Genomic DNA, 16,844 nt, shown 5'->3' on the forward strand with positions numbered 1-16,844 from the left:
AAATACAGTGTAAGGTGTGTGCTCAATTTCATCCTTTTGCATGTGAATATCTAGTTTTCCCACAACAATTTGTTGAAAAAACTCCTTGCTCCATTGAATGATCTTGGCATTTTTGTTGAAAATCAGTTGACCATACATGTAAGAGTTTATTTCTTGGTACGCTTTTCAATTCCATCAGTTTATATGCCTATCTGTATGCCAGTACCACACTGTTTTTATTAGTGTCATTTTGTAGTAAGTTCTAAAATCAGGAGTATGAACATTTGAATTGGTTCTTTTTCAAGATTGTTTTGGTTATTTGGGAATCCTTTGAGTTTCTACATGGATTTTAGGATATGTTTTTCTATTTCTAAATAATTTAAATAAAAATCTCCATTGGAATTTTGATAGGGATTGCATGGAATTTGTAGATCACTTTGGGTAGTACTATCATATTAATGTTAAGTCTTGCAATCCATGAACATAGAATGTCTTTCCATTTATTTAGGTCATCTTTAATGTCTTTCAGCTGTTTTACAGTTTTCAACATACACATCTTTTGCCTTCTTGGTTAAATTTATTCCTAAGTATTTTATTCTTTTTGATGCAATTTTAAATGAAATTGTTTTTCTTAATTTCCTTTTCAGGTTGTTTATTGCTAGTGCATAGACACACAACTGATTTCTGTATGTTGATTTTTCTGCAGCTTTGCTGAATTTGTTTATTAGCTCTAACTCACTTAATCTTGAAACAAATCTGTAAAGTAGCACTGTCAATGTTCAGGCACTTGCATTAGCAGCCAGACTCATGAACTAGTAATACATGAGGAAAGGACGGGAAATTCTCTTTCTCATTCTCTTTCTGGCAGCTGTGCAGTAGCAGAAAATGCAAATTTGAGTTCCTGCCACAGAAGTGGCAGCAGTACAAGCTGTGGTATCTCATTCTCAGTGGTGGAGGTGGTGGCAGGTGGTATCAGGTATCAGATCAGTTGTGCAGTGTCCCTTGGGACACTGTTCCTGGAAGTCCATCCTTGGCCTTTCTTGTCTACTCCTCCTGATAATCTTGTAAAGCATCCAAAGTTATTTTTATTTAATTCCTTTTTTGGTCAGTCAACCAGAATCAGTTTCTGTGTTAGTCCATTCTTGCATTGCTATAAAGAAATACCTGAGACCGGGTAATTTATAAGAAATGAGGTTTAATTGGCTCACAGGGATCTGCAGGCTGTACAGGATGCATGGCAACAGCATCTGCTCAGCTACTGATGAGAGCTTCTAAGCTTACAGTCATGATGGAAGGGGAAGCGGGAACAAGCATCTCACATGATAGAAGTGGGAGCAAGAGGGAGAAAAAGTAGGGGTGGGGAGGTGCCACACTTTACAACAATCAGATCTCGCAAGAACGCACTATCACAAGAACAGTACCAAGCGATGAGGGATCCACGTCCATAACCCAAACACCTCCCACCAGTCCCCAACTCCAACATTGGGGATTATATCTCAACATGAGATTTGGAGGAGACATCCAAACTATACTAGCTTCTGCTGCTTGCAAATAAGGCTCTTATATGACAAATATCAACAACAACACATGCTTCCGTTCCCTTATCCTGCTTTTTCTCTATAGTATCACTATCACTATCTGGACCATCAATTTATTGTCTGATTCCCACACTGGAATGAAAACTCCATGAGGTCAGAGTTTTTTTGTTCACTGCTATATGCCTTAATTAATGCCTAGTATATATTGCACTTAATACAATTTATTGAATGAATGAAACACCTAATACTTATTAATTTAACCCAGACAACAATACACATCTCTTAGAAATCAAAACCTATGGCATTTATTCATAACTCTGTGCCTGTGATTTCACCTCTGAAAAGCAACTCTTTCTAGCTTTATGCTCTATGACTCTAGGCAGAGCAAATTCTTAGAAATCAGAGGAATCCCTAGGGGAACCTTCCCCAGGTATGCTGATATCATCCTCATATCATTTCCATAGGATATTGACTTGCGAGCTATCATCTGGGCCAATTATTAGTAGTTTTGCCAAAATGAATGGACACTTTTTCTTTCAGATGTTCATACTGGATATTAGAAAAAGTAAACATTTCTAAAATCTTCCCATGCTCATACTTAAATGCCCAAAGAAGCACTTAGTTGAATATAAAAGGTATCTCCAGACCATCTCAGAAACAGCAGGAGTTAATCCCTGCTAAAGTCAGAGAGGAGATTGAGAATGAGTTCTGCGCCATGTCATGCTGAGATGAAGACACTCTATTTCTCAAATTACTCTCTTATAAAACATCTCAAAATGCCTTTCTGTACAAATCTAACTCACACCTGCTGAGAAAATGATGCTCTTTTCTAGGCCACAGGTTGTCTGTCCTGCCCTACGTTTACCTGACTTCTTAGAGTCCTCAGGTCACCCATGGCCTGGATGCATTCTGGCTTGTTCTTTAAAATGTCCACTTTAACAGTTGCTGTGGAAAAGATGCAGTCCAAGGTTACAAACCTGTTTATGACCAACTCTCCTGTGTCTCCGCTATGCTAATAATTTAAAATACGTGTTTAACTATAATCGCTGATTTGGTTATGTGTTTGAAACACGAAACCATTGAACATAATTTTCAGAAAGCAATTTTTTTCCACAAATACTAACGATTGTTTCCCAACAATTCTATCAATAAGGGCTCCTGAAGAGCAGCAGGAAAGCAAGCACTGGAGGGGTGGCTTTAGTGGGCAGCTTATTGGGAAGTACAGATGGGGTCGCTTTCCATTCTTATTCCCCAAGGAGAGGCCTGATAACTGAGACCAACTCCAAACTGTGGCAGAGAAATTCCATCCAGTGTGGGGCTACATGCTGAGAACAAGGGGAAGACAGGTGGGAGATATGGTACAAAGGTGGGAGCTTCCAGAGAAAAGCAAGGTCATTCCAGGAACAGCAACTAAACACAGCAATAGAAAAGCAGGAACAGAGGCTCACCAGAGTGCCTCCAGTACCTGCAAAGTACTCACTTATTCCTTCATTTATTCAATAAAAATCAAGTGAACATCTACATTGTACCAGCATCCTGCTGGGAGCTAAGGATACAACAAAAAGTAAGACAGACTAGGCCATGCCCTCATGGATCTTACGTTCTATCATTCAGCAGGTACTGAATAAATATTTGTTGAACTGGTCAATTGAATAAAATGACTGAGCCAACACCCTTCCTTTTTTCTAATATGATATCTTCCTCTGCCACATTACAAAGTAAAAAGAATGATGATCTCAAATACATTTTCAAGAAGTTGGCCACAATATTTGAAATTTAGTAAGAACACTAATAGAAATGTGGCTTTAGACCCATTATTCTTTTTTTTTTTTTTTTTGAGACGGAGTCTCACTCTGTCGCCCAGGCTGGAGTGCAGTGGGGTGATCTCCGCTCACCGCAAGCTCCGCCTCCCGGGTTCACGCCATTCTCCCGCCTCAGCCTCCTGAGTAGCTGGGACTACAGGCGCCCACCACCACGCCCGGCTAATTTTTCGTATTTTTAGTAGAGACTTGGTTTCACTGTGTTAGGCAGGATGGTCTCGATCTCCTGACCGAGCGATCTGCCCGCCTCGGCCTCCCAAAGAGCTGGGATTACAGGCGTGAGCCACCACGCCAGGTCCAGACCCATTATTCTTACAATGTGTATAATGTTTCTTGACATATTCATTAAAAATAGTACGAAAGCATCTGATTAGACATGAAAGGATAATCATTTATAATTGATCTCTTTTATGTTTAAATTCAATGGGACATCCCACTGAATAACTGAGACATAAAGCACTATTTTATGCCATATACATTATAACATAATAGTTATAAAATAGTACTCCAGTTATAACATAGTCATAAAAATATATATACACTATATATATGCTATTCATAATAATATATACTACAAATGCATTATGTATAATATATTATGTATATATACATTATATATTATATAGTGTTTATATACTGTTATGGTATACCATAGTTATAACATAACATATATAAAACATAGTTATAACATAATATATATACTATATATAATATACATATATCAACTATTATGTTATAACTTTTGTTATATTATATAAATAGTTATAACATAATAGTTGATATGGTTTGGCTGTGTGTCCCCACCCAAATCTCATCTTAAATTGTAATCAGGGGAGGGACCTGGTGGGAGGTGACTGGATCATGGGGGTATTTTCCCCCATGCTGTTCTCATGGTAGTGAGGGAGTTCTCACAAGATCTGATGGTTTAAAAGTGGCAGTTTCCCTTGCACTCTCTCTCCTGACACCTTGTGAAGAGGTACTTGCTTCTCCTTCACCTTTCACCATGATTGTAAGTTTCCTGAGGCCTCCCCAGCCATGCAGAACTGTCAGTCAATTACGCCTCTTTTGTTTATAAATTACCCAGTCTCACAAGTCTCAGGTAGTATCTTTATAGCAGTGTAGAAATTGACAAATACTAACATAAATACATTATAATCTAGTTTCTAACATTTTAATGAATGGAGTAGTACATATCTGTCTATAAGTATATGAGATATGGGCACTAAATTTTTTATCATTGCTAGACATTTGCAATTAAAATTTGGACACCATTATTTTAGATCCTTGGTCATTAGTTGGCAAGTTTCTTGGGAGAGTGCATCCAGACCAGGTCTACTGGTTTTGAGGCAAGTGGGGCTCAGGACCTGAAAGAAGGTGCATTGTTAGTAGACAAAACAGCAATTGCAAAGGACCTAGGAGGGAAGTGTGCTTGGAGGACTGAGCAGAGGAAGGGGCTGGAGAGTAAAATACAAGTGGGGAGACCAGTAGGGTAGAGGGGTCCAGATTATGTAGAGTCTTGGAATCATGATAAAGACTTTGGATTTTACTGTGGTAAAATTGAAGCCCATTGGAAGTCTGTGAGCAGAAGAATATGATCTGTTTATATTTTTGGAAACATTACTAAGCTCTTCAATCCAGCTTTGACCTGGAATATATTTTTACCAACATCTGTCTGATCTGTGTGTCTACATCTCAAATGGTTCTAAACTGGGAGGGAAAAGCAAAGGTGTATAATTTTATCTTCTAAATGACAGTATCTGTCTTACCAAACATGTAAGTAATTCTATAACTTGATACTTTCATTCGCCATCAGATTATTGAGATTTATCCTTGATGGTCTGTATAGCTTCAATTTATTCCTTTAAACTAGTTGCAACAGACCATTGCATAAATTAGGCCACAAGGTATTTATCTACTCTCCTGTTAATGAACATGTGCTTTTTAATGTTCCATTACAAATCATTGCATCAGAAAACAGTCCTCTATGTCAGGGGTTCCCAAGCCCCAGGCCATTAGGCACCAGGTGGCACAACAGGAGGTGAGTGCCAGGCTGGGGGCAAGCATTATCACCTGATCTCTGCCTCCTGTAAGATCAGTGGTGGCACTAGATTATCACAGGAGCTCGAACCCTATTGTGAACTGTGCATGCGAGGGATCAAGGTTGCACACTCCTTATGACAATCTAATTAATGTCTGATGATCTTCTAAGGTGGAAGAGTTTCATCCAGAAACCATCTCCTCCAAACCCCTCCTTGTCTGTGGAAAAATTATCTTCCACAAAACCAATTCCTGATGGCAAAAATGTTGGGGACAACTGCTTTATGTGTCTTCATTGAGTACACAGTCTCTAATTTCATACCTTGGTGGAAATTGTTGAGTCAAATTTGTTTGCATTCCAGGATGATGAATACTAGAGGCTGGGAAGCATATTAGGGTGAGAGTAAGGATAAAGAAAGGTTGCCTAATGGGTATAAACATGCATTTAGATAGAAGGAATACATTTTAATGTTCATTACCAGAGTATGGTGACTATCAATAACAACAATGTATTATATATTTCGAAGTAGCCAGAAGAAAGGACCTGAAATGATCCCAACACATAGAAATGATAAATACTCAAGGTGATGGACACCCCAAACACACTGACTTGATCATTATACAGTCAGTGCATTAAACAGAATATCACATATGTACCTCATAAATAGGTACAAATATTTGTATCAAAAAATAAAATAAAAGGTGTTTGCATTCTACAACTGTGTTAGATCATGAAAATGCTCTCTAAAGTGATTCTGCAGCAGCTTATGTGAGACTCTCCATTTCTCTATACCTTTGTCAACACTTTTTATCATCTGACATTTTCATTTGTGTCAACTTATGAGTATGAAATCATCTTTCATTACAGTTTTTATCTGCATTTCCCTTGACACTAGTAAACTAAAACATTTATTTATACTTTTATTGGATATTCAGATTTCCTGTTGGTGAATTGTCAATTCATATCCTTTGCTCATTTTTCTACCCAGTTAACTATCTTTCTCTTACAAATTTGTGGGAATTCTATGTAAATTATAGATATAAATTCCTTGTTAGTATTTGCTCTCCAAATATTTGTTGTTAACTTGTAACTTGTCCTTTATTTTTGTTTTAAAGCTTGGTAAAGGAAACTTTTTAATTTTTAATGTAGTAAAATTTATCAATATATCTTGAAAGTTTATGATTTTTATACCCTAGGAAACCCGTTTATACCCCTCAGATCATAAAATATATTTTGTATTTTATCTAAAAGTTACTGTTTTCTTAAACCTGCCCAAAGTTTACTTTTCTATTTAGTGTGAATAGATATATAATATTACCTTTTTTTTCTGTAGGCATAACCAGTTGTCCCCACCCCATTTATTGAATAGTCCTTCCTTTCCCCATCAGTATCTAATATCCTTTCTTTTGTATATCAGATTTATATATTCTGTTCAGTTCCACGGGCCTACCCTTGAGCAAATAGCATGCTGTTTAAGGACTAAGTCTTTATAAAAAGTCTTGATATCTGGTAAAACAAGTTCCCATATTTTGTTCTTCTTCATAACTGAAAGATCATAACTTGATCGTTCATTTAACTTATAGGATCAGTCTTCTTTTAACTTCACCAAAAATACTATGATGGACTTCTCATTCATATGCATACTATCTCTTCATTTATTTGGGCACCCTCTTTTGTATCCTTAAATAATGTTTTATACATTTTTCCATATATGTCCTATGATTTTTTAAATTTATTCCAAAGTAATTTATAGTTTTAGTTTTAATAATTTATATATTTTAATAATTTGGAGATAATTTTAGAATTTCCAGGTAGATAATCAATATTATCTTTTCCCCCCAGTTCTTATATATTTTTCCCTATATTTTATTGCTTTGAACCCCGAGGACATTTTTGAGTAGACGTAATAATAGTAGTCATTGGTGTTTTTCTTTATTTTAATGAAAATGATTCTAAAGGCTCACTATTAAGTCTATTTTTGTTGTTGTTGTTGTTTATTTGTTTGTTTGTTTGAAACAGAGTCTCACTCTGTCGCCCAGGCTGGAGTGAAATGGTGCAGTCTTGGCTCACTGCAACCTCCACCTCCCGGGTTCAAATAGAATTACTATATGATCCAGCAAACTCAAAAAAAAAAAAAAAGAAGAAGAAGAAAGGCCTTCCATGACCACCCTACCCTAACAAAAGCAGCACCCTCCTCCTACCCCAAGAGACCCTCAGCCTCATTACCACCAATCTACAGCTTTCATAACAAAGCAGTTTCCTGGAACTACCTGAATTATTTATCTGAATTATTTATCTGATAATTTCCCATTATTTATGTTCTTCACTATTGATAGTCTCTTAAAAAGCAAAGACTTTTTTCTTTACTGTTGCTTTTAGTATCTGACTATTGTTAGGTGGTCAGTAAATACAATATGTAAGGTATAATACTGGAATACATACACACAGACACAGAGACAGAGACACGCAAAGACACACACACATACACAATACAGGTTATCTGACATATATGATAGTATGTTATATATGATATATGTTTCATATACATGTGCTATATAACATCTGACGTACAGTGCATAATATACCATGTATAATATATAATAAAGTATATGGCAGTCAATATACAGTATATACTATATATAAAACAAATAATACGAAAGTATTTTAAAGATATACATCTTAAAAGTTTTTAGTCCTATTTCTATAATTCCTCCAAAGCCACAAAAACACAGAGAGGAAGAGAGAGAGAAGAAAGAGAGAGGAAGGGATGATGCAATTTAAAAGAGGATCTAGCTGATGCCAAGTCCTGATCTACATAGGACTGCACTCACTTCCCCATCCTAACTTAAGCTGTCAGAGGAAAGGAGTGGCACCCAGGGGGCACTGGTCTGTGAGCTCCAGAGGCATCATCTTGCTGCAGTATGAGCTAAATGCCAACTCTCATTGTCACCTGCACTACTCCTTGATGTGAGATTGGATCTGTGGTCCCCTTTCATGAAGTGTTGCCTTCTAAGAGTCTTGACATACTAGTTGTGGAATAGTAGTAACAAAGGGACTTTGCTGGGGCCTGTTTCCTTTCTAACACAGTCCATTCTGGGAGTCATGGAATCCCTCAGTTGCACAGATCCTTAACGTCCAAATGGACATATAACTAATGAAACACCATATTGCAGGTGCCTTACTTAGCTATATTCCTCTGCTTTAGTGCAAAGTAAGAACAGTAAGAAAACCAGGTCATGTTTTTCAACTAGGTCATGTTTTTCATCTTTTCTACTATTGGCCTTTTCCATTAATCTTAAAATGTGATTTTCTACATCTTTGATTTCTACTCTTGAATCGTATTTCCAGTCACCATATGCTACTTTTCTGCAAGCTGTAATTTAAGCCAATCCTGCTCACGAATTTTGAAAAAGGGAGTCCATAGAAGAGAAAACTATCTCCTCCTCATGTGCTTGGGATGTTGTGATTTCCTCAGTATTGCTGGGCTGTGTTCCTTTTTAGAGGAAGTTGCAATTCCCTTCATGGTAAATAGGAAGGAAATGAAGGTGATTAAAGCCCTTAGGATGTAAATTTCAGTGTTGGCTGAAAGGTTCTTTTTATCCCAATCCTGCTTTTGTAAACAAAGCTCCGGTGGGACTGAATCTGGAAAGCTACCACAGCTCCATGACAACTGGACTTGCCAGCCATGGTGACCATCTCCATGTTCACATCGTAGTCATTCATAGTCATGCATATGCACATCGTAGGGACAAACATTCACTTTGGCTCTCACCAAGAAAAAGAGCGTTAGCAACCAATTAGTAGAAGGTGGTACAGGAGAGGAACACTACTAACAGGTCAACTTTTTGCCTAGTGAACTCAGCTGTAAATTTTTATGGATGATGGTAAGATAAAATTATTGCCCTAGTTTCTGTATGTTGGCCACATACAGGCACTGCAAAGACCCCTAATGCACTGTGATTTCTATTCTTGGACATCAGTGGATGATACACGTTTTTCTAGGTGTACATATCTGCGTGCAAAGAATAAGGAGTTGGCATGACTCTCAAACAGAGATCCAAAGTTTTCTAGGAAATGTCTTTTAACATTCTTCTTATTTTAAAATGTAAAAAATCCTTTACTAGCTATAAAGTCAAAAATACAAAGAAACAAATCTGCTTACATGTAAAGCAACTGAACCCTAAAGGACGGCACTATGGAGCAGCCCTGCACATAACATTCCGCTGACTCACCTTTGCACTGGGTGTGCTTCTATCCCACAGGGTGGCACTGCTCACAATGGGAATATAGCAAGGGGATTTCTGAAACATTAGAAACAAGGCATTTAGTATCACTTCAATAATTCTTACAAAGAAACATTTCCATTCCTGAGATGGTTTTTAGGCAGATCAGAAGCTAATTCTTTCAAACAATGGCTGTTCATTCACTGAGTACCCGATATTGCCCACAACACTGTCCCAGGTGCGTTGGGAACAATGGTGAGCCCAAAACACACCTCCCATCCTCAAGAGTCCAGAGGAAGCCACAGGTATTAACGAAATAATCACACAAATAAATGTAAAATTTTAACTCTGATACATGTGATGAAAGAGAGAGATGAAGTATTTTGAAAATATGGTGATATATTGGGATGAAATAGAATTAAACATTTACACCCTTTGCCATGTGACTTTGATGTACCTCCCATAGCCTGAAGCCCATCCCAGCTGAGCCCAATGCAGCCATAGTCAACCCACAGGCCCATGAACATAAATAAGAAATCAATGTTTCTTGTTGAAAGTCACTTATTTGGAGTTGCTTGGCACGTAGAATTATCATTGTAGAAACCTGTGAATGAAACAAATCTACAATACGTGCAATAGGTATACTCAGGGAGGTCAGAAGAGGTAACCCCTGAGGATCTCACAATGGAAGAGAACAATTTTACTTAAATATCAAACCAGACATTTGATTTGAAGCTTACTTGCAATTTTACTTAAAATATCAAACCTTAATAAGATAATATCAGGATTTGTTTTCAGACTTCTGGTTTTCAATTTGGTGCTTTTTATTTATTTAGTCATGCTCCTCAAGGTCTTTGACTTTCTGTTGCCCAATATTTGCTAAAACCAGTCTGCTAAGATTGGTGTCATGAAGGACAGACCCCCAAAAAATCTGTCACCAGGATACAAGTATATGTCAGAAAAACAATGGTGAGTTGCCCACTACTTTTCCCAGAGGTGATTAGAGTCTAAAGCAGGAGGTAGTAACCAAAGAATCACACAAATAAAGTTAAGATTCCAATAACACTAAAGGTTATGAAGGTACAGACATAGGTGGAGTCAAGGAATACAGATTATGTAGACTTGGGTGATGGACTAGAGACAGAAATTGGACAAAAATGGAAGAAGAAGCAAGAGCTTCTTTGAGATCAAAGTACCATGACTGAAGGATGTTGACACGAGAAGTAGAAGGGGACCCAAGGTGGCAGAAATAGGTAAAATTACTAGAATCTGGAGTAAATAATTGGGGAGGGTCATAGATTTCACAGCACTGAAGCTGAGTAGTGCTACAACTGTGATGCATTTGTACTGCCTGTCAAAGACAGGTGGGGCACATGGGACCCCCATTATGTCCTCTCATGAGGTCTAGAAAATGTGTCTTCTACCTAGTATCCCTGACATCAACTCTGCGCTGGGCACATGGTAAGCATCCAATCAATGCACTTAAAGAATGCAGGGGCCAGGCACGGTGGCTCACACGTGTAATCCCAGCACTTTGGGAGGCCGAGGCGGGCGGATCACGAGGTCAGGAGATCGAGACCACCCTGGCTAACACGGTGAAACCCCGTCTCTACTAAAAATACAAAAAAATTAGCCGGGAGTGGTGGCGGGCGCCTGTAGTCCCAGCTGCTCCGGAGGCTGAGGCAGGGGAATGGCGTGAACCTGGGAGGCAGAGCTTGCAGTGAGCTGAGATTGCCCCACTACACTCCAGCCTGGGCAACAGAGCGAGACTCCGTCTCAAAAAAAAAAAAAAAAGAAAAAGGATGCAGGGGCACTATCCTGTCATCCCAAAAGGAATGTGGTGTCACAAGGTGTGGAGCCAGAAGGAATTCTAAATCGCCAACATTTGCATTTGATAGATGAGGAAACTGCTCGAGATCACACAACCATGTAGTGACAAGCCAGGGCTCAAATTTCAGAATCTGGACTTTGTGTTCTGCCCATCGTCCTCTGTTGGATTATCAGCATACATGCATAGCCTTTGAACCCCAGCTGCTGGTTTGATTGGAAAAGCCATGTCTGCAGGGAGGGGAAGGAATTTCATTTACAAAGCAAGAATCACCGGGGGAAAATTAGGCCCATCCCGATAATTTGCGTCTCAGTTCTCCTTCTCCATGGACTTCCTGCCACTCACTCGAACCATGTACATTCACACATCCGGTGTCTTCCAAGTAGTCAACCTTTGCCCAGGGCAGTCAGCACGAAGCACTGAATGCTGTCCCAAACCACCCTGCTCTGATACATTTTTTATTTCAGTGGAGATTTCTTAGTGCCACTCCTCAGAGCTATGCAAGTTGTGGATGGCACAACAGGGTGGCATCATTCACAGAGACTGTGATGCAAAAACAATACCTCTTAGGGTAGTTCAGTGTACCACCTGACCATCTATACAAAGCAGTCCTGAGATTTCTGTTCTCCAAACAACAAGACTTTATGGTAGCCAATAGCCCAAGGAAATCATGTGCATTCTGATTATCTTGGTTTTTAAATTTTTTATAAAGCATTATTGAGACATAATTTATGTACAAATAGCTGCATATATTGGAGGTATCTGCAGGAAGAAGGAAGAAAGAACAATTAAGGAATGGGAGTACCTTAGAAACCTTTACCTTGAACTTTTAAGCAAGACGAGGAGTCCAGAAAGAAACAGACTAGGAGTACAGGTAGAATTGCCTGGTAAACAAAAATGCTATTGTAATCAACAAGGCAAAAATAAATAAATAAAAGGTTGAAAGAATAAAGTAGCTGGGATATTCATTGCCAGTCATTAACCTGATTTTCTAATGAATATGGCATTAGGCATTCATTAACAATCATTTGTGTTTATGTTGAACAGTGGATGTATAATGAAGGTTGCTAAATGAAAGCAAAATTAAACCAGGGAATTTTGGACACTTATAAAGCAATTAACTTGTTTGGCAGTAATTACACATTGAAAGCTAAATCAAGTGCATTTAGAAAGCCACAAGAGTCGCCACATAAACCAGAGGTGCTTTGCTCTAAAATAATAGAAAAGCCTCTCTTTCTTTCCAAATGAAAGAGAAAGGCAAAAGTATGGTATAAATGACAAACAAGGCTCAGGTCTAATGAAAAGAAATACGGTTACAGCCCATATGTTAGAGAAGAGGCAAGTTATGAAAAAATAGGACAGCTCAGCTAATTAAAGGAGGGAAAAAAAGCCTTTTGTAACAACAATGATGTGAAAACAGGTGGTATGTGCTAGAGAGTTCAGGTTTTTGTTCTGTTCACGCTCACAGGCATGCACACACACGCAAGTGCACACGCACGCATTTATACACTTGAACCACCTAATAGGTGCATGAAGAGTAAAAACTGAATCCGCCATCAGGTCCTTGGAAGGCCACAATATCTCAGTAGCAGGTCCTTGTCACTGACGATTTTGTAACATGATTCTCCAGATGAGTGTTTGACCACAGCCTTTTATTCAACTGAGCACATGGCATTAGAGGTCAGTCATTAAACACTCTCTGGGACTCTGTTATTTAAAAAGGAGGAGGGAATAAGGTACTAGGGAAGATACAAAGGCGAGATCCAGGGAGAAACCATGACTGAACTGGTGATAAAACAAAAGCAGTAAACATAAAATTTCATGCATCCACAAGACTCATCAACAGAAATGTTAGTATAAAAATGCATTTAAAATCCAATGAAGTTTTCAGATAAAGAATGAATTTTCTCAGAATTTTAACCCTATAATATACTAGCCAAGAAATGCTACAGACATGCTGTTTTTGTTTATCTATGTGTGTGGAGGGGCATGTTCCAATGGGATGATAAGGCTGGAGAAGGGGGTCTTCAGATGAGCCCAAAGGTCTGAGCAAAGGGATAAAGTTTTTCAAACTGGAGTCTTGATCATGCTCCTCAAAAAGATCTGAAGATTCATGACCTCTTTCCATCTGACAAATACCTTCACAAATCGGGAGCTGTAGGCACTCGAGGGTTAGTAACCAAAAGAAAAGTTCCCAGGGGGATCTACAAAGGACAGCTGGCTTTGTGGAAACATTTGCAAAAAGCTTGGGTGTCAACTATGCTGAAAGCAAATACTTGCTTTGCCTCTGAGACTGGAACGGAAACCAGGAGATAGCTTTTGAAATCCTTGCTTCGGTCATTAAACTACTACCAAATAAAAAACATGTTTGCCTTGATGTGGGGTAGTGTATTTCTTTCTAAAGAAATGGTCTCTCTTTAAGATGATAATCATTTTCTATCCAAGCAGAGGATCAAGACATTAAGATGAAATACTTATTTCTCACTTACTTGAACCCTTTTTAAATATTTAGGTTGTCTACTTAGTTCTAATCTAATGTGGATTGTTTCATTTGTGGTTAACTTGGTTAGAAAATTACTGCCCGATTTTGGCCAAGATCTCATCAATATACCAGTGTACTATTTCATTCTCCTTGCAACAGACCCAATGCCTTTCCCTGAGACTTCATAGGCAAAGGCATTTAAATATCAATAAATTCAGGGAATACACTATTCTTGAAGGCACGTACTACTAATCCAGGGCTTCTTACATTTTACTGTACATCAAAATCACCTGAGGAGTAGCTAAAATGCAGATTCTAATTCAGGAGGTCTAGAGGAGGGCCTGAGATTCTGGTTTTATAACAAGCTCCCAGGTGATGTTGGTTCTGGAACAGCAAGGTACTGATCTACTGATCTTTGTAGATAGCTGCTTTCAAGAGGTTGTATGGTCAAGAAAAGACATAGCTGAAGCCCTGGAAATAGATCAGTTCTTCTCCAAGAAGAGACCTGGATAGTGTAATAGATCAGAAATTAAGCAATAGAGGAATATCCATTACAGATGAAACATACAAGGAAGGGGTCTGGTCACCACTGTTTCTAATGATCTATGTTTCCCAACTGCCATGGCTTTGCTGATGCTTTTCTCTCCACTTGTCCAGATGTTGAGATCAAGACAATTCAGCTTTTCAAATAGTTATTGGTTTGCCATTTACTATGTTCAGTACCAAGGATACAAAAATAAATGAAGCATAATCTCCACAATGCTCCCCTGGTGCAATTACAGCACAACAGGATAAAGACTATGAAAATGGATGCATAAGGTACCAGGGGAGCTCCTCTCCCAGACCTAAGGAGAAGATTTAGACAAATGTGAAGAATCAGTAAACACTTCTTGGAAGAGATGTCAGCTGAGCCAGATGTTGAAGAAAGAGCAAAAAGAAAAAAAAAATCCAGTTGAAAAGAACAAGTAAAAGTAATGTTAACAGAGGGTCAGCACGGGGAAAGTGTAGACTGAGAGAACATTCTGACTCTGCTATGAGCTGCTGCCAGGCCAAATAGTAGTTGTGCCCCGTAATAACTCCCTTTATCCTCCACCAAAGAATTATTGACAGCCAACAATTTTTATCCTTATTTTGTAGATGAAAAATCTGAAGCCCAGAGAACTCAATGACAGCCAAGGCAATATCACTGAGTAAGTGGTGGAGTTGCGATTCCAAGGTGAGCCTTCCTAGTCATAAAGCCTGCAGCCTCTTCACAGTGTTCAGGTGTCTCCCATCAGGATGATTGCAGAGGGGGATAGGATGAGACAGCCAAGTGATTAAAAAAAGAGACTGGCATTGCATTTTTACATAATGATTTTAATCTTTATTTTTCTTCCCTCAACTAGTATTCTGTTTAAATACACAGAAAAATACAGTAGACCTTTGACCAACACATGGGTTTGAACTGCGCAGGTCTACTAATACAGTGATTTTCTCCCATCTTTGCCACCCCTGAGACAGAAGGCGAACCCCTCCTCTTCTTCCTCAGCATACTCAATGTAAAGACAATAAGGATGAAGACTTTCATGATGGTTCACTTCTACTTAACAAATAGTAAATATATTTTCTCTTCATTATGATTTTCTTAATAACATCTTTTCTCTATCTTACTTTAAGAATACAGTATATAATACACGTAACATACAAAAATATGTGTGTTAATTGATTGTTTCTGTTATTGGTAAGGCTGCCTGTCAACAGTAGGCTATTAATAGTTAAGTTTTGGGGGAGTCAAAAGTTATGCATGGATTTCTTATTGCACAGGGCAACCGCACCCCAACCTTCATGCTGTTCAAAGGTCAACTACAATTCATCCCAATCCCATAGTGATTTAAGATTTTAACAGCCTTGGGGAAGACCTCCTGTTGACAAAGAATTTTGCACCCTTTAGACAAATGAGGTTTCATTCTTGATCACATGCTTTTCAAAGGTTGAGTTTTGAAAAATAAGATCAGACAGTAAAGGCTGAGACTGGACCAAGGGAATTGTTGACAAAGCCACAGCTAGCCCTATGGAGTCTTCAGGCAAAGCACAAAATAATCATTATCATCATCATAGTAACAATGGCACCCCCCTCTTTGCAGATAAAGCCCCGTGGTAGGACTTAGTCTAGCCATTAAATGCACCAAAATTTTAGCCTCTTCCTATCCCCTTGGCTTGGAGTCATGTGTAAGGTATAACATCAAACTTACATGGTAGCCCTGATTGTGGGCACCTTGCCCTGGAGTACATAGTATATAGTGAACATAGAAACTAGATTCTGGAGAGTGACATGGAAATATAGGCTGTGGGTGTAGTACACACCATTTTTAGGAATTTAACCATGCATGAGACACAAGAGACGGAGCAGCAGCCAGATAGGTCAGCAGAGTCAAGTGTTGACTTTTTCTCCCCCTAAATAATTAGAGAGATCTGGGAAAGCTTAGAAACAGAGGAAGAGGGTGTGGAGGTGAGGAAGTAGGCTTAACACACACAGTAGTCAACTTTAAATTCAAAAGCATCAGCTCCTAATTCTAATCTTCTCTTCAAGGAAAACAAAATCATCTAGGATGAAAAGTTTCTTTTTATCTAAGAAGATATAAACCCAATTCCTCTCTCAATAAGTACCAAGTCTCAAATTTGAATAAAATAACTTATTATTTGTGTATGATTATAAAACTGATTCCTCCATTTGTCATTATCAGCCACTGATTTCAGAAGCCCAAGAGTAACAATGGGAAAATGGATTTTTAACCTATAGAGTACATAGATTATTGCATTTTATTAAAGTGTAGCTTGTAGACAAGCTTCTTAAAGTTTCAACAAACTGTTCAAAACCAAAAACTGTATATTTTTTGTCAACTCCTGTTTTAACTGTCTCCTAGGTAAAAGCACAAAAGTGCATCTGCTGGTAACTC

General features: G+C 38.4%; 1 protein-coding gene across 43 annotated transcripts in view, besides 1 other annotated feature; it reads right to left on the reverse strand.

The window, feature by feature from the left end:
* C12orf42 (chromosome 12 open reading frame 42) overlaps positions 1 to 16,844 on the reverse strand; it is a 516,167-nt gene that overhangs the window by 344,376 nt on the left and 154,947 nt on the right. For 35 of the 43 annotated variants that reach the window (XR_001748690.2, NR_170336.1, NR_170332.1 and 32 more), the window contains one exon: positions 9,608 to 9,676. The exons of 1 other annotated variant lie outside the window; for it this stretch is intronic. Coding sequence is in view for 23 of the 42 variants with exons in the window: in NM_001386867.1 (NP_001373796.1) it covers positions 9,608 to 9,676 (69 nt within the window). In the remaining 19 variants the exon portion in view is untranslated. Of the gene's footprint in view, positions 1 to 2,382; positions 2,463 to 9,607; positions 9,677 to 12,246; positions 12,311 to 16,844 lie in introns of those variants that run through there. 7 more of the 43 variants (NM_001386868.1, XM_047428804.1, XM_011538300.2 and 4 more) reach the window with 2 other exon arrangements.
* Positions 971 to 1,030: an enhancer, noted in NCBI's record as "active region_6891". NCBI's record gives its function as "activates an Ori minimal core promoter by ATAC-STARR-seq in GM12878 lymphoblastoid cells {active_cell/tissue: GM12878}" and the evidence as "EXISTENCE:reporter gene assay evidence [ECO:0000049][PMID:35858748]".

Source organism: Homo sapiens, chromosome 12 (assembly GCF_000001405.40).
Source record: "Homo sapiens chromosome 12, GRCh38.p14 Primary Assembly".
Taxonomy (NCBI): domain Eukaryota; kingdom Metazoa; phylum Chordata; class Mammalia; order Primates; family Hominidae; genus Homo; species Homo sapiens.